At 40.4% G+C, this 18937-nt stretch overlaps 2 annotated features.

The window, feature by feature from the left end:
• Window positions 5409-6347: an enhancer, noted in NCBI's record as "OCT4-NANOG-H3K27ac hESC enhancer chr4:95005658-95006596 (GRCh37/hg19 assembly coordinates)". NCBI's record gives its function as "activates a minimal SCP1, AML or CMV promoter by ChIP-STARR-seq in primed H9 embryonic stem cells {active_cell/tissue: H9 hESC(primed)}" and the evidence as "EXISTENCE:reporter gene assay evidence [ECO:0000049][PMID:30033119]".
• Window positions 6348-7287: an enhancer, noted in NCBI's record as "H3K27ac hESC enhancer chr4:95006597-95007536 (GRCh37/hg19 assembly coordinates)". NCBI's record gives its function as "activates a minimal SCP1, AML or CMV promoter by ChIP-STARR-seq in naive H9 embryonic stem cells {active_cell/tissue: H9 hESC(naive)}" and the evidence as "EXISTENCE:reporter gene assay evidence [ECO:0000049][PMID:30033119]".

An 18937-nucleotide genomic window follows, 5' to 3' on the forward strand; every position in this document is an offset into this window, starting at 1 on the left:
TCCTCCCCACTATCCTCCTTAGCCTCTGGTAAACACTATTCTACTCTGCACTTCTATGAAATCAGCTTTTGTAGATTCCACAAATGAGTGAGATCATGCAATATTTGTCTTTCTGTGTCTGGTTTATTCTTATCAAAATGTCCTATAGGTTTAACCACATTGCCACAAATAACAAGATTTTATTATTTTATGGCTGAATAATATTCTACTGTGGATATATATCAATTATTTTTATCCATTCACCTGTTGATGGACACTTAGGTTGGTTCCATACCTTGGTTATTGCAAATAGTGCCACTGTAAACATGAGAAAGCAGGTATCTCTTTGACAGATGGATTTCATTTTCTTTGAATAAATACCCAGTAATGAATTGCTAGATCATATGGCCATTCTATTTTTAATTTTTTGAGGAACCATCATAGTTTTCCATAATGGCTATACTAGCTTACGTTCCCACCAACAGTACATAAAAGTTCAGATTTCTCCACGTCCACACCAGCATTTGTTATTTTTTGTCTTTTTGATAATAACCGTTCCAATTGGGGTAAGGGGTGATACATCACTGTGGTTTTGAATTGTATTGCCCTGATGATTAGTAATGTTGGGCATTGTCTAATATATCTGTTAGCCATTTGTATGTCCTTTTTGGAGAAATGTTTATTCAGGTCTTTTGCCCATTTTTAAATCAGATTATTGATTTTTTTTTTTGCTATTGATTTTTTTCTTATTCTGTATAACAGAATAAAGTTGTTTGTTCTTACATATTCTAGATATTAACCCCTTGGCAAATGCACAGTTTGCAAATATTTTCTCCCATACTATTGGTTTTCTCATCATTCTGTTGATTGTTTCCTTTCTTATGCAGAAGCATTTTAGTTTGATGTAGTTCCATTTGGTTATTTTTGCTTTTGTTTTCTGTGCTTTAGAGTTCGTATACAAAAAATCCTTGCTCAAACAAATGCCATTAAGTACTTCCCCTATGTTTTCTTCTAATAGTTTTATAGTTTGGGCTTTTACATTTAAGTCTTTAATTCATTTTGAGTTGATTTTTAAATATGGTGAGAGATAGGGATCTAGTTTCATCTTTCTATATGTGAATATCTTGTTTCCCCAGCACCATTTATTAAGGAGGTAATCCTTTTCCTCATGTGTTTTCTAGGTGCCTTTCTTACTAATAAGTTGGCTATAAGCGCATGGATTTATTCTTGTGTTCTCTATTCTGTTCCATTGGTCTACATGTCTATTTTTATGTCAATACCATGCTGTTTTGGTTGCTATTGTTTTGTAATATATTTTGAAGTCAGGTAGTGTGATGCTTCCAATTTTATTCCATTTGCTGAAAATTGCTTTAGCTATTTTTATGGTTTCATACAAAATTTAGGATTCTTTTCTCTATTTCTGTGAAGAATGTCATTGGTATTTTGATAGAGATTACATTGAATCTGTAGTTATTTTGGGTAGTATGGACATTTTAACAATATTAATTCTACTAATACGTGAACAAAGAATATTTTTCCATTATTTTTGTCCATTATCTGGGTGGGGACATAACCAAACCATATGATTCCACCCCCTAGCCCCTCCCAAATCTCAAATCCTCACATTTCAAAAAAATCATGCCTTCCCAACAGCCCCCCAAAGTCTTAACTCACTCCAGTATTAACTCAAAAGTCCACAGTCCAATGTCTCATCTGAGACACGGCAAGTCCCTTCCACCTATGAGCCTATAAAATCAAAAACAAGTTAGTTACTTCCTAGATACAATGAGGGTAGAGGCATTGTGTAAATACAGCCATTCCAAATGAGGGAAATTACCAAAACAAAGGGGCTACAGGCCCCATGCAAGTCCAAAATCCAGTGGGGTAGTCAAATTTTAAAGCTTCAAAATAATCTCCTTTGACTCCATGTCTCACATCATGGTCACGCTGATACAAGAGGTGGGTTCCCATGGTTTTGAGCAGCTCTGCCTCTGTGGCTTTGCAGGGCACACCCCTCCTCCTGGCTGCTTTCACAGACTGGCATTGACTGTCTTCAGATTTTCCAGGAGCACAGTGCAAGCTGTCAGTGTATCTACCATTCTGGGGTCTGGAGGACGATGGCCCTCTTCTCACAGCTCCACTAGGTGGAGTCCCATTTGGGACTCTGTGTGAGGGCTCCAACCCCACATTTCCCTTCCACGCTGCCCTAGTAGAGGTTCTCCTTGAAGGCTCCACCCCTGCAGCAAACTTCTGCCTGGACATCCAGGCATTTCCATACATTATCTGAAATGTAGGTGGAGGTTCCCAAACTTTAATTTTTGACTTCTGTGCACCCACAGGTCCAATATCAGATGTAAGCTGTCAAGGCTTGGGGCTTGCACCCTCTGAAGCAATAGCCTGAGCTGTACATTGGCCCCTTTTAGCCACAGCTGGAGCTGAAGCAGCTGGGATGCCAGGCACCATGTCCTGAGGCTGTATAGAGCAGGGGATCGTTGGGACCTGCCCAGGAATTTTTCCCTCCTAGGCCTCCAGACCTGTAATGGGAGGGGCTTCTGTGAAGGTCCCTGACATGGCCTGGAGACATTTTTCCCATTGTCTTGGTGATTAACATTTGGCTCCTCATTACTTGTGTAAATTTCTGCAGCCAGCTTGAATTTCTCCCCAGAAAATGGGGTTTTCATTTCTATTGCATTGTCAGGCTGAATATTTTCCAATCTTATATGTACTGCTTCCTCTTGAACACTTCACCACTTAGAAATTTCTTCCCCAGATACCCTAAATCATCTCTCTGAAGTCAAAGTTCCACAAATGTCTAGGGCCAGGGCAAAATGCTGCCAGTCTCTTTGCATAGCAAGAGTGACATTTACTCCAGTTCCCAAAAAGTTCCTCATCTCCATCTGAAACCACCTCAGCCTGGACCTTATTGTTCATATCATTACCAGCACTTTGGTCAAAGCTGTTCAACAAGTCTTTAGGAAGTTCTAATCTTTCCCACATTTTTCTATCGTTTCTGAGCCCTCCAAGCTGTTCAAACCTCTGCCTGTTACCCAGTTCCAAAGTCATTTCCACATTTTTGGGTATCTTTACAGCAGCACTCCACTCTATCCTTTACCAGTACCAGTGTACTGTATTAGTTCATTCTTATGCTACTATAAGGACATACCCAAGTCTGGGTAATTTATAAAGAAAAGAGGTTTAATGGACTCACAGTTCCACATGGCTGAGGAGGCCTCACAATCATAGAGGAAAGCAAAGAAGGAGCAAAGTCACGCCTTACATGGTGGCAGGCAAGAGAGCTTTTGCAGGGGAACTGCCCTTTTATAAAACCATCAGATCTCATGAGACTTATTCACTATCGTGAGAACAGCATGGGAAAAAGCCCACCCCATGATTCAATTACATCTCACCAGGTTGCTCCCACAAAATGTGGAGTTTATGGGAGCCACAATTAAAGATGAAATTTGGGTGGGGAAACAGCCAAACAATATCCATAATCTCAATAGATGCAGAAAAGCATTTGATAAAATCCAGCATCCCTTCACAATTAAAATCCTATACAAACTAGGCATAGAAGGAACTACCTCAAAATTATAGAAGCTATATATGACAAACCCACAGCCAATGCCATACTGAATAAGAAAAAGTTGAAAGCATTTCCCCTAAAAACTGGAACAATAGAATACCACTTCTATTCATTATAGTACTGGAAGTCCTAGCCAGAAAAATCAGGCAAGAGAAAGAAATAAAGGGCATCTGTATTCATCCATTTTCATGCTGCTGATAAAGACATACCCCAGACTGAGCAATTTACAAAATAAAGAGGTTTATTGGACTCAGTTCCATGTGGCTGGAAGACCTTCATCATGGCAGAAGGTGAAAGGCATGTCTCACATGGCAGCAGACAAGAAAAGAGAGCTTCTCCAGCCTGGCCAACATAGTGAAACCCCATCTCTACTGAAAATACAAAAATTAGACAGGTATGGTGGCACATACTTGTAGTCCCAGTTACTTGGGAGGCTGAGGCAAAAGAATCGCCTGAACCCAGGAGGCGGAGTTTACGGTAAGCTGAGACCATGCCACTGCACTCCAGCCTGGGTGACAGAGCAAGACTCCATCTCAAAAAAAAAAAAAAAAAAAATGAGAGACAGAGAGCTTGTGCAGGAAAACTCCCCCTTAAAATAACCATCAGATCTCGTGAGACTTACTCACTATCACAAGAACAGCATAGGAAAGACCCGCCCCCATGATTCAATTACCTCCCACCAGATCCCTCCCACAACACACGGGAATTCAAAATGAGATTTGGGTGGGGACATAGCCAAACTATATAATTCCACTCCTGGACCCTCCCAAATCACATGTCCTCACATTTCAAAACCAATCATGCCTTCCCAACCATCCCCCAAAGTCTCAACTCATTCCAGCATTAGCTCAAAAGTCCACAGTCCAAAGGCTCATCTGAGACAAAGCAAGTCCCTTCTCCCCATAAGCCCGTAAATTCCAAGCAAGTTAGTTACTTCCTAGATACAATGGGGGTACAGGCATTGAATAAATACAGCTATTCCAAATGGGAGACATTGGCCAAAACAAAGGGGCTACAGGCCCCTTGCAAGTCCAAAACCCAGTGGGGCAGTCAAATCTTAAAACTCCAAAATGATCTCCTTTGAGTCCATGTCTGTCATCCAGGTCACGCTGATGCAAGTGGTAGCTTCCCATGGTCTTGGGCAGCTCTGCCCCTGTGGCTTTGCAGGGTATAGCCCCCATCCTGGCTGCTTTCACAGCCTGGCATTGAGTGCCTGTGGTTTTTCCAGATGAATGGTGCAAACTGTCAGTGGATCTACCATTCTGGAGTCTGAAGGATGGTGGCCCTCTTCTCACAGCTCCACTAGGTGATGCCCCAGTAAGGACTCTGTGTAGGGGCTCTGAGCCCACATTTTCCTTCCACGCTGCCCTAGCAGAGGTTCTCCATGAGGACCCCACCCCTGCAGCAAACTTTTTTCTAGGCATCCAGGTGTTTTCATACAACTTCTGAAATCTAGGCAGAGGTTCCCAAACCCCAATTCTTGACTTCTGTGCACCTGCCGGCTCAACACCACATGAAAGCTGCAAAGGCTTGAGGATTGCACCCTCTGAAGCAACAGACTGAGCTGTACCTTGGCCCCTTTTAGTCACGACTGGAGTGGCTGGGATGCAGGGCACAAGTCCCTAGACTACACACAACATGGGGACTCTGGGCCCTGCCCACAAAACCATTTTCTCCTAGGCCTCTGGGTCTGTGATGGGAGGGGCTGCCGTGAAAACCTCTGACATGCCCTGGAGACATTTTCCCCATTGTCTGGGGGATGAACATTCAGCTCCTTGTTACTTATGCAAATTTCTGCAGCCAGCTTCAATTTCTCCTTAGAAAATGATTTTTTCTTTTCTATCACAGTGTCAGGCTGCAAATTTTTTGAACTTGTATTCTCTGCTTCCCTTATAAAACTGAATGCCTTTAACAGCACCCAAGTCACCTCTTGAATGTTTTTGTTTGTTTGTTTGTTTTTGTTTTGTTTTGTTTTTTTTTTGTGTGTGTGTGAGCAATATAGTTGTTTGTTTCACCTGGTTGCAGGTGGGTGGGCTGAGTCCGAAAAGAGAGTCAGCAAAGGGAGATAAGGGTGGGGCCGTTTTATAGGATTTGCGTAGGTAAAGGAAAATTACAGTCAAAGGGGGTTTGTTCTCTGGCGGGCAGGAGTAGGGGTCTCAAGGTGCTCAGTGGGGGTGCTTTTTGAGCCAGGATGAGCTAGGAAAAGGACTTTCACAAGGTAATGTCATCACTTAAGGCAAGAACTGGCCATTTACACTTCTTTTGTGGTGGAAGGTCATCAGTTAAGATGAGGCAGGGCATATTCACTTCTTTTGTGATTCTTCAGTTACTTCAGGCCATCTGGGCATATACATGCAAGTCACAGGGGATGCGATGGCTTGGCTTGGGCTCAGAGGCCTGACATTCCTGCCTTCTTACATTAATAAGAAAAATAAAACAAAATAGTGTTGAAGTGTTGGGGCGGCGAAAATTTTTGGGGAGTGGTATGGAGAGAGAATGGGCGATGTTTCTCAGGGCTGCTTCAAGCAGGATTGGGGCGGTGTGGGAACCTAGAGTGGGAGAGATTAAGCTGAAGGGAGGTCTTGTGGTAAGGGGTGATATTGTGGGGATGTTAGAAGAAACATTTGTCGTATAGAATGATTGGTGATGGCCTGGATACGGTTTTGGATGAATTGAGAAACTAAATGGAATAACAGAAGGAGAAAAACAGGTATAAAAGGTCTAAGAATTGAGATAACTCAGGATATCTGATTAGAGAGTGCCTAAGGAGGTTCAGCATAGTCCTGCCAGCAAAGATTATTTATTTACTTCAAGAGTTAAGAGTGGCAGTTTGGGGATAGCACCAGGAGATATCAGCTGTGATGGCTTGGAAAAACAGTGTAAACCAGCAGTGTAAACAAGAGCAGGGCATGTAAGAGTAGTTGAGAACGGTGAATAGGAGTATGACTAGACAGAAGATAGTAGGGATGACAAGTTTTTTGGGGGCACAGTCTAAGTTGGTCTGGTTCTGGAATGAGACTCGGGCCTAATAAAAAGGAGCATCTATACAGGAGCTTAAATGGGCTGTACCCTGTAGCATTCCGAAGACAGGCCTGAATTCTGAGAAGGGAAAGTGGTAAAAGTATTGTCCAGTCCTATTTAAGTTGGTGGCTGAGCTTGGTGAGGTGTGTTTTTAAAAGACCTTTAGTCCATTCTACTTTTCTTGAAGACAGGGGACCGTAAGGGATATAAAGGTTTCACTGAATACTAAGAGCCTGAAAAACTGCTTGGCTGATTTGACTAATAAAGGCTCATCTGTTATCAGACTGTATTGAGGTGGGAAGGCTAAACTGAGGAATTATGTCTGACAGAACGGGAGAAATGACTGTGGTGGCCTTCTCAGACCCTGTAGGAAAGGCCTCTACCTATCCAGTGAAAGTATCTACCTAGACTAAGAGGTATTTTAGTTATGTGACTCAGGGCATGTTGAGTAAAGCTAATTTGCCAGTCCTGGGTGGGGCAAATCCTTGAGCTTGATGTGTAGGGAAGGGAGGGGGCCTGAATAATCCCTGAGGAGTAGTAGAATAGCAGATGGAACACTGAGAAGTTATTTCCTTGAGGATAGATTTCCAGGATGGAAAGGAAATGAGAGGTTCTAAGAGGCGGGCTAGTGGCTTGTACTATAGCATAGCCTGCCTTTGCTGGTGTGTGGCCATTAGGCCTGGTGGAACCGCCATCAATAAATCAAGCGTGATCAGGGTGAGGAACAGGAAAGAAGGAAATTTGGGGAAATGCGGTGAATGTCAGGTGGATCAGAGAGATACAGTCATGGGGGTCAGGTGTGGTATCAGGAATAATGTGGGAGGCCGGATTTAAGTCTGGGCCAGGAACAATGGTAATTGTGGGAGACTCAACAAAGAGTGAGTATAGCTGAAGGAGCCAGGAAGCAGAAAGTATATGTGTCAGGTATGAGGAAGAAAATAGATTTTGGAAGTTGTGAGAACTGTAGAGAGTGAGTTGAGCATAGTTTGTGATTTTGAGGGCCTCTAAAAGTATTAAAGCAGCAGCAGCTGCTGCACGCAAACATGAGGGCTAGGCTAAAACAGTAAGGTCAAGTTGTTTGGACAGAAAGGCTACAGGGTGTGGTCCTGGCTCTTGTATAAGAATTCTGACCACGCTAACCATGCCTAGGAAGGAAAGGAGTTGTTGTTTTGTAGAAGGTGCTTGGGTTTGAGAGATCAGTCGAACACGATTGGCAGGGAGAGCACATGTGTTTTTATGAGAATTATGCCGAGATAGGTAACAGATGAGGAAGAAATTTGGGCTTGATTGAAGTAATGGGGGCTGTCTGTGAAGCCTTGCGGCAGTACAGCCTAGGTAATTTGCTGAGCTTGATGGGTGTCAGGGTCAGTCCAAGTGAAAGCGAAGAGAGGCTGGGATTAAGGGTACAAAGGAATAGTAAAGAAAGCATGTTTGAGATATAGAACAGGATAATGGGTTGTAGACGCAGGTAGTGAGGATAGGAGAGTATATGGGTTTGGCACCACGGGGTGGATAGGCAAAACAATTTGGTTGATAAGGCACAGATCCTGAACTAACTTGTAAGGCTTGTCTGGTTTTAGGACAGGTAAAATGGGGGAATTTGTAAGGAGAATTTATAGGCTTTAAAAGGCCATGCTATAGCAGGCAAGTGATAACAGGCTTTAATCTTTTTAAAGCGTGCTGCAGGATGGGATATTGGCGTTGAGTGGGGTAAGGGTGATTAGGTTTTAATGAGATGGGAAGGGGTGCATGATCAGTCGCCAAGGAGGGAGTAGAGGTATCTTATACTTGTGGGTTAAGGTGGGGGGGATACAAGAGGAGGATGCAAAGGAGGCTTTGGATTGGGAAGAAGGGCGGCAATGAGATGTAGCTGTAGTCCAGGAATAGTCAGGGAAGCAGATAATTTAGTTAAAGTGTCTCAGCCTAATAAGGGAACTGGGCAGGTGGGGATAACTAAAAAGGAGTGCTTAAAAGAGTATTGTCTAAGTTGGCACCAGAGTTGGGGAGTTTTAAGAGGTTTAGAAGCCTGGCCGTCAATACCCACAACAGTTATGGAGGCAAGGGAAACAGGCCCTTGAAAAGAAGGTAATGTGGAGTGGGTAGCCTCTATATTGATTAAGAAGGGGACTGACTTACCTTCCACTGTGAGAGTTACCCAAAGCTCGGCATCCGTGATGGTCTATGGGGCTTCCGAGGTGATCGGGCAGCGTCAGTCTTCAGCCGCTAAGCCGAGAAGGAGTCAGTCAGAGAGCCTTGGGCCAGAGTTCCAGGGGCTCTGGGAGTGGCTGCCAGGTGAGTTGAACAGTCCAATTTCCAGTGGGGTCCCGCACAGATGGGACACGGCTTAGGAGGAATCCTGGGCTGCAGGCATTCCTTGGCCTGGTGGTCAGATTTCTGGTACTTGTAGCAAGCTCCTGTGGGAGGAGGTTCTGGAGGAACGCCTGGCCGCTGCGGTTCAGGCGTTTGGAAGTTCTTGTGTGCTGGAGATGTGGCTGGGGTTTGTCTCACAGTGGAGGCCAGGAATTGCAACTTTTTTCTATTATTGTACACCTTGAAGGCGAGGTTAATTAAATCCTGTTGTGGGGTTTGAGGGCCAGAATTTAATTTTTGGAGTTTTATTTAATGTCGGGAGCAGATTGGGTAATAAAATGTACATTGACAATAAAATGGCCTTTTGACCTTTTAGGGTCTAGGGCTGTAAAGCGTCTCAGGGTTGCTGCCGAACGAGCCATGAACTGGGCTGGGTTTTTATATTTGATGAAAAAGAGCCTAAACGCTATCTGATTTGGGATAAAGAAAAAGGAGCATTAACCTTGACTATGCCTTTAGCTCTAGCCACCTTTTTAAGGGTAAATTGCTGGGCAGGTGGGGGGGGCTAGTCACAGAACGAAACTGTAAGCCAGACCAGGTGTGAGGAGGGGAGGCGATGAAAAGATTACAGGGTGGAGGAGTGGAGGCTGAGGAAGAATTGGGACCTAGCTTCGGCTGGCGAGGAGGGAAGAGGTCACATGGGTCTGTAGAAAAGGAAGATTAGAAAGACTCAGCGACGCTTGGGGTTGGCACTGAGGGGACAGGCAGGAGGGAAAGAAGGAAGATTTGGGATGAGTTGCACTGGGCACAGAGACTAGGAAGGGACTGATGTGTAAAAGAATGCCTGGACGTCAGGCACCTCAGACCATTTGCCCATTTTACGACAAGAGTTATTTAGATCTTGTAGGATGGAAAAATTGAAAGTGCCGTTTTCCGGCTATTTGGAACTACTGTCGAGTTTGTATTGGGGTCAAGCAGCATTGCAGAAGAAAATAAGGCATTTAGGTTTTAGGTCAGGTGTGAGTTGAAGAGGTTTTAAGTTTTTGAGAACACAGGCTAAGGGAGAAGAAGGATGAATGGAAGGTGGAAGCTTACCCATAGTGAAGGAGGCAAGCCCAGAAAAAAGAGTAGAGACACGGAGAAGGGGTGGGGGGTTCTTGCCCTCCAGAAAAGCAGAGAAGGGGTTGGGGCACGGAAATAAGGGATTGGGGCACAGAGATAAGAGGTCAGGGTGTGGAAATAAGGGATTGGGGCTCAGAGATAAGAGGTTGGGGTGCAGAAATAAGCAATTGGGGGGTTCTTGCCCCCTAGGAAAGCAGGACTTGCCACTAAGGGTGAAGGAGAAGGGGTTGAGGGGTACTTGCCCCTGCCCCAGGAAAGCAGGACTTGCTGCTAAGGGTGAAGGACCAAGGCAGGCCTCCCTGCAATGATTAAACACCAAGGGAAGGCTGCCTTCCCAGTCCGTGACCAGCGCCGGAGTTTTGGGTCCACGGATAAAACGTGTCTCCTTTGTCTCTACCAAAGGAATTGAAAGGAATTGAAATTAAGAGAAGGGAGAGATTGAAGTGTGGCACCAAGACTGAAAGGAGAAAGAGGTTGAGGGATAGTGAGGGAGGTTGGAGAAGAGAGTAAAAAGAGGCCACTTACTGGATTTGAAATTGGTGAGATGTTTCTTGGGCTGGTCGGTCTGAGGACTTGAGGTCATAGGTGGATCTTTCTGATGGAGCAAAGGACAAGAGGACAGGAGATTGATCTCCCAAGGGAGGTCCCCCGATCCGAGTCAGGGCACCAAATTTTATGAGCGTCGGTGTGAAGAGACCACCAAACAGGCTTTGTGTGGGCGATAAAGCTGTTTATTTCACCTGGGTGCAGGTGGGCTGAGTCCAAAAAGAGAGTCAGCTGAATGTTTTGCTGCTCAGAAATTTCTTCCACCAGTTACCCTAAATCATCTCTCTCAGTTCTAAGTTCCACAAATCTCTAGGGCAGGGGCAAAATGCCACCAGTCTCTTTGCTAAAACATACCATGAGTCACCTTTGCTCCGGTTCCCAACAAGTTCCTCATCTCCATCTGAGACCACTTCAGCCTGGACCTTATTGTCCATATCACTATCGGGCTTTTGATCAAAGTCATTCAACAAGTATCTATTGAGTTCCAAACTTTCCCACATTTTTCTCTCTTCCTCTGAGCCCTCCAAACTGTTCCATCATCTGCCTGTTACCCATTTCCAAAGTCACTTCCACATTTTCAGCTATCTTTTCAGGAACACCCCACTCTACTGGTATCAATTTACTGTATTAGTCCATTTTCATGCTGCTGATAAAGACATACCCAAGACTGGGCAATTTACAAAAGAAAGAGGATTACTAGACTCACAGTTTCACTTGGCTGGGGAGGTCTCACAATCATGGCAGAAGGTGAAAGGCCCATCTCACATGGCAGCAGACAAGAGAAGAGAGCTTGTGCAGGAAAACACCCCCTTATAATAACCATCAGATCTCATGAGACTTACCATCACGAGAAAAGCACAGGAAAGACCTGCCCCCATGATTCAATTACCTCTCACCAGGTGCCTCCCACAACACATGGGAATTCAAGATGAGATTTGGGTGGGTCATAGCCAAACCATATCAGCATCCATATTGGAAAAAAGGAAGTCAAACTATCTCTGTCTGTTGATGATATGACCTTATGCCTAGAAAACCCTAAGGACTCCTAGATTTGGTGAATGAATTCAGTACAGTCTCAGGTTACAAAATCAATGTACACAAATAAGTAGCACTGCTATACAACAATGACTGATCTGTGAATCAAATCAATAACTCAATCCCTTTTACAATAGCGCCAAAAAAAATAAAATACTTACAAATACACTTAACCAAGGAGGTAAAATATCTCTACAAGGAGAACTATAACACACTGTTAAAAGAAATCATAGATGACACAAACAAATGGAAATATGTCTCAGGTTCATTAACTAGAAGAATCAATATTGCAAAAATGACCATGCTACTTAAAGCAATCTACAGATTCAATGAAATGCCTATGAAAATACCAATGACATTCTTTACAGAATTAGAAAAAAAAAACTAAACTTCATATGGAATCAAAAAAGAGCTCGAATGGCCAAAGCAATCCTAAAGTAAAAGAATAAATCTGGAGGCATCACATTACCTGACTTCAAATTATTCTACAAGGCTATAGTAACCAAAACAGCATGGTACTGGCATAAAAACATACATAGACCAATGGAACAGAAAAAGAACCCAGAAATAAAGCCAAGTACTTACAACCAACTGATCTTTGACAAAGCATACAAAAACATTAACTGGGGAAAGGACACCCTATTTCCCCTATTCAATAAATGGTGCTGGGAAAATTGGACAGCCGTATGTAGAATAATGAAACTGGATCCCTATCTCTACCACATACAGAAATTAAGATGGACTAAAGACTTAAATCTAAGACCTGAAACCATAACAATTCTAGAAGAAAACAGGAAAAACTCTTCTGGACATTGGCCTAAGCAAAGAATTTATGATGCAAACCCCAAAAGCAAAGGCAACAACAACCAAAATAAATAAATGGGGTATAATTAAATTAAAAAGCTTCTGCATAGCAAAAGAAATTATCATCAGAGTGAACAGACAACCTACAGAATAGGAGAAACTGTTTGCAAACTATGCATCAACAAAGGACTAATATCCAGAATCTAAAAGGAACTCAAATAAATCAGCAAGAAAAAAACAAATAATCCCATTAAAAAGTAGGCAGGTGACATGAGTAGACATTTCTCAAAAGAAACTTTACAGATTGCCAATAAACATATAAAAAAATGCTCAACATCACTGATCATCAGGGAAATGCACATTAAAACCACAATGAGATACCACCTCACCCCAGCCAGATTGGCTATTAGTAAAAAGTCAAAAACCAATAGACGTTGGCACAGATGTGGTGAAAATGGTACATTTATACACTTTTGGTGGGAACATAAATTAGTACAACCTCTATGGAAAACAGTATGAAGATTTCTCAAAGAACTAAAAGTGGATCTACCACTTGATCCAGCAATCCCACTGTTGGGTATCTACCCAAAGAAAAAGAAATAATTATATCAAAAAGACACCTACTCACATGTGTTCACTGCAACACAAGTCCCAGTTGCAAAGATGAGGAATCAACCTTAGTGCCCATCAACTATTGAGTGGATTTTTAAAAAGTTATATATATATATAAAATATACACACACATATATATACACACATTACATTTTATGTATTTGTATTAGTATATATAGAGAGATATATAGATATATATACACCACATTTACATACACACACTACTCAGCCATAAAAAAGAATAAAATAATGTATTTTGCAGAAACTTAGATGGAACTGGAGCTCATTATTCTAAGTAAAATAACTCAGGAATGGAAAACCAAATACCACATGTTCTCACTTACAAGTGAGAAATAAGCTAAGACAGGTATATTGGACATTGGAGACTCAGAAGGTGGGAGGGTAGGAGGGTGTTGAGGAATGAAAAATGATCTACTAATGTATAATGTACACTACTCAGGTGACAGATACACTAAAATCCCAGAATTCACCATTATATATAATTCATCCCTGTAACCAAAAAACACTTGTACCCATAAAGCTATTGAAATTTCTTTTTAAATTTTTTAAAGAAATGCCACGATTGCTTGTATGTTCATTTTGTATCCTAAAACTTGACTAAATTTGTTTATTAGTACTAACAGGTTTTTTGGTGGAATTAATAGGGTTTTACACATAGACATCACACCATCTGCAAACAGGGACAATTTGACTTTTTCCTTTCCAATTTGGATGCTCTATTTCTTTCTCTTGCCTTATTGCTTTGGCTAAGACTTAGATCTTGGAGGAAAAGCTTTCCAATTTTTCCCATTCAGTATCATTTTAGCCATGGGTTTGTCATATGACCTTTATTGTGTGGAGATGCCTTCCTTCTATGCCTAATTTGTTGAGCATTTATCATGGAGAGATGTTGAATTTTATTAAATGCTTTTTCTGTATCTATTCAAATGGTAATGTGGTTTTTGCCCTAAATTCTGTTAATGTGATGTATCATATATATTAATTTGCATATGTTGAACCATCCTTGCCTCCTTGGGATGAATCCCATTTGATCATGGTGAATGATCTTTTTAATATGCTGTTGAATTTGTTTTTCTAGTATTTCATATCCATATTCACCACAGATATTGACCTGCAGATTTTTTGTTGTGTCCCTGTCTGGTTTTGGTATAAGGGTAATGTTGGCCTTGAAGAATGAATTTGGAAAAATTCCCTCCTCTCCAATTTTTAGAATAGTTTGCAAAAGATTCATATTAGCTTTTCATTAAATGTTTGTTAGAATTCAGCAATGAAGCCATCAGGTCCTGGGCTTTTCTTCGGTGGGAGACTTTTTATCACTGATTCAATCTTATTAGTCATTATTGGTCTATTTAAATTTCCCAGTACTTCATGATTCAATTTTGGTAGGCGGTATGTGTCCAGGAACTTATCCATTTCTTCTAGGTTTTCCAATTTGTTGGTGTACAGTTGTTCAAAATAGTCTATCATAATGATCCTTTTGATTTTTGTGGTGTTAGTTGTAATGTTGCCTTTTTCATCTCTGATTTTATTTATTTGGATCCTCTTTCTTTTTTCTTAATCTAGCTAAGGGTTTGTCAGGTTTATTTATCATTTCAAAAACTCAACTCTGTTTCTTTGGCCTTTTATACTGTTTCTTTAATCTCTATTTTAGTTTTTTCTGCTCTGATCATTTTCATTTCCTTCTACTACTTTTGGGTTTTGTTTATCCTCATTTCTCTAATTTCTTAAGTTGCAATATTAGACTGAGATCTTTCTAATTTTTTGAAGGAGGCATTTATTGTTATAAACTCTCCTCTTAAGATGACTTTTGCTGTGTCCCATAAATTTTGGTATGTTGTTTTTTTCATTTTCATTTGTCTCAAGACATTGCTTTTAATCTTAGAAATCTTTAATTTAAAGAATATGGTATATCTTCAAGATTATAAACATTTGTTTAACTTTTATTTTAAGTTTAGGGGTACATGTGCAGGTTTGTTGTATAGGTAAACTTATATCATGGGGGTTTGTTGTACAGATTATTTCATCACTCAAGTATTAAGCCTAGTACCCATTAGTTATTTTTCCTGATCCTCTCCCTCCTCCCATCCTTTACCCTCCAATAAATCCGTGTTTCATTTTCCTCTATGTGTACATATGTTTTCACGTTTTAGCTCCCACTTATAAGTGAGAACATGCAGTGTTTGGTTTTCTGTTCCTGTGTTAGTTTGCTAAAGATAATGACCTACAACTACATCCATGTTTCTGCAAAGGACATGATCTTGTCCTTTTTTATGGCAACACAGTATTCCATGGTGTATATGTACCACATTTTCTTTATCCAGTTTACTATTGATGGGCATTTAGGTTGATTCCATGTCTTTGCCATTGTGAATAGTGCTGCAATAAACATACACGTGTGTGTATCTTTATGATAGATTGATTTCTATTCCTTTGAGTATATACCCAGTAATAGGACTGCTGGATTGAATAGTAGTTCTGTTTTTAGTCTTTGAGGAATTGCCACACTGTCTTCCACAATGGTTGAACTAATTTACACTCCCACCAACAGCATGTAAGCATTTCTTTTTCTCCACAACCTCACCAGCAAGTTACTTTTTGACTTTTTAATAATAGCCATTCTGACTGGTGTGAGATGGTATCTCATTGCAGTTTTCGTTTGCATTTCTCCACTGATCAGTGAGGTTGAGCTTTTTTCATATGATTGTTGGCCACATGTATGTCTTCTTTTGAAAAGTGTCTGTTCATGTACTTTTCCCACTTTTTAATGGGGTTGTGGGATTTTTCCTATAAATTTGTTTAAGTTCCTTATAGATGCTTGATATTAGACCTTTGTCAGATGCATAGTTTGCAAATGTTTTCTCCTATTTTATAGGTTGTCTGTTTACTCTGTCGATGGTTTCTTTTGCTGTGCAGAAACTCTTCAGTTTCATTAAATCCCATTTGTCAACTTTTGCTTTTATCGTGATTGCTTTTGGCATTTTCATCATGAAATCTTGGCCTATTCCTATGTCCAGAATGGTATTGCCTACATTGTCTTCCAGGTTTTTAGTTTTACATTTAAGTCTTTAATCCATTTTAAGTTAATTTTTGTAGATGGTGTAAGAAAGAGGTACTGTTTCAATCTTCTGCGTATGGCTAGCCAGTTATCCCAGCACCATTTATTGAATAGAGAGTCCTTTCCCTATTGCTTGTTTTTGTCAGCTTTGTGGAAGATCAGATAGTTGTAGGTGTGTGGCCTTATTTCTGGGCCCTCTATTCTGTTCCATCAGTCTGTATGTCTGTTTTTGTACTAGTACCATGGTGTTTTGGTTACTGTAGCTGTAGTATAGTTTAAAATTGGGTAGTGTGATGTCTCCAGCTTTGTTCTTTTTGCTTAGGATTGCCTTGGCTATTCAGGATTTTTTGGTTGTTCTTTCATATAATTTTAAAGTAGTTTTTTTTTTAGTTCTGTGAAGAATGTCATTGGTAGTTTAATAGGAATAGCATCGAATCTATAAATTGCTTAGGGCAGTATGACCATCTTAATGATATTGATTCTTCCTCTCCACGAGCATGGAAAGTTTTTCCATTTGTTTATGTCATCTCTGATTTCTTTGAGCAATGTTTTGTAGTTCTTTTTGTAGAGATCTTTCACCTCCTTGGTTAGCTGTCTTCCTAGGTATTTTATTCTTTTTATGGCAGTTGCAAATGGGATAGTGTCCCTGATTTGGCTTTCAGCTTGATTGTTGCTAGTGTATAGGAACGTTAGTGATTTTTGCCATTGATTTTGTATCCTGAGATTTTCTCAAGTTGTTTATCAACTTAAAGATCTTTTGGGCTTAAACTATGGGGTTTTCTAGATATAAGATCATGTCGTCTGCAAACAGGGATAATTTGACATCCTTTCTTCCTTTTTGGATGCCCTTTATTTCTTTCTCTTGCCTGATTGCCCTGACCAGGATTTCCAATACTATGTTTAATAGGAGTAGAGTTTCCAAAGTTATTTCTGCTATTGATTTCTAATTTCAGTCCATTATGGCCAGAAAAGATGCTTGACATAAATTCTGTTTTTGTAAATTTGTTGAGACTTGTTTTGTGCCTAACATGTTATCTATCTTAGAGAAAGTTTAATGTGTTGGTGAGTGGAATGTGTATTGTGCAGCTGTTGGATGGAATGTTCTGTAAATGACTGTTAGAACCATTTTATCTAGAATGCAATTTTTTTTTTTTTGAGAGAGTCTTGCTCTGTCACCCAGACTGGAGTGCAGTGGCATGATCTTAGCTCACTGTAGCCTCCGCCTCCTGGGTTCCAGTGATTTTCCTGCTACGGTGCAATTTAAATCCACTGTTTGTTTGTTGATTTTCTGTCAGGCTGATCTCTCCATTGCTGAAAGTGAGGTGGTGAATTTCCCTACTATTATTAGATTGAAGTCTATGTCTCTCTTTAGATCTAATGATATTTACTTTACATATTTTAGTGCTCTGGTGTTGGGTGCAGATTATTTGTTTCTTTTTTTCTTTCTTTACTTTTTTAAAATTTTTTTATTTTTTTGATACAAGGTCTCACTCCATTGCCCAGGCTGGAGTGGAGTGGTGCAATCATGGCTCATTGCAGTGTTGACCTCCTGGGCATAAGCAATCCTCCCACCTCAGCCTCCTGGGGCCTGGGACCACAGGCGTGCACCATCATGCTCAGCTAATTTTTGTATTTCTAGTAGAAACAGGGTTTGTCATGCTTCCCAGGCTGGTCTTGAACCCCTGGGCTCAAGCAATCCACCCTCCTTAGCCTCCCAAAGTGCTAGGATTACAGGCGTGAGTCACTGCACCTGGCAAATGTTTTTATAGTTGTTATATTCTCTTGCTAAATTGACCACTTTATCATTATGTAATGATAGCTTTGTCTCTTTTTACAGTTTTTGACTTAAAGTTTATTTTATGTAACATAAATATAGCTACTCCTGCTCCTTTTGGCTTCCATTTTCATGGAATATTATTTTCCATCCCTTTACTTTCAGTCTATGTGTGTCCTTACAGGTGAAGTAAGTCTCTTGTAGGCAACATATACTTGAGTGGGTTTGTTTTTTTTTTTAATCCATTCAGCCACTCTATTTTAACTGCAGAATTTAATTCTTTTACATTTAAGGCTATTATTAATAAATACAGACATATTCCTACAATTCTGTTAAATTTTTTCTGGTTATTTTGTAGATCTTTTGTTTCTTTCTTCCTCTCTTGTTGTTTACCTTTGTGGTTTGGTTTGTTTCTATAGTGATAAACTTTGATTCCTTTCTCTTTCTCATTTGTGTATCCACTGTAAATTTTTTCCTTGTGGGTACTCTGGGTTTACAAAAAAATCTTATAGTAATAAAAGACTACTTTAAGCTGATAACAATTGAACTTTGGTCACATACAAATATTCTAGACTTTTACTCTCTTCCCCACAATTCGTAATTTTGTTATCTTAGTTTATATCTTCTCATATTGTATATTCCTTAACAATTTGTTGTAGCTATGGTTATCAATGACCACTTTAACACTTAACCTTCACTCTAGAGATTTGAAAGATTATATACTATCATTAAAGTAATGGATTATTCTGAACTTGATTATGAGTTTACCTCTACCACTGAGTTTTATACTTTTATATGATTTTATAGTGATTAACATCTCTTCACTTCTGTTTGACGCTCTTCTACAATACTCAGTCTTCCATTATTCCCAACTCGGCCCCCACTCCCCACCGCTTGCTGCTTCCAGTGTATTTTTTATCTTAGAAATTATAGTTTTCTTCTCTCAAAATTTGGAGAAATTTTCATCTCTTTTATGTTGCAACACATTCTATCTTTCCTTTAGCTTTTTTAATTTATGGCATATAGTTCTAATAACTGTCCTTATCTGCTAATGCTAATAGCTGTGTCATTCTGG

The sequence above is a fragment of the Homo sapiens genome, chromosome 4 (genome assembly GCF_000001405.40).
Source record: "Homo sapiens chromosome 4, GRCh38.p14 Primary Assembly".
Lineage (NCBI taxonomy): Eukaryota > Metazoa > Chordata > Mammalia > Primates > Hominidae > Homo > Homo sapiens.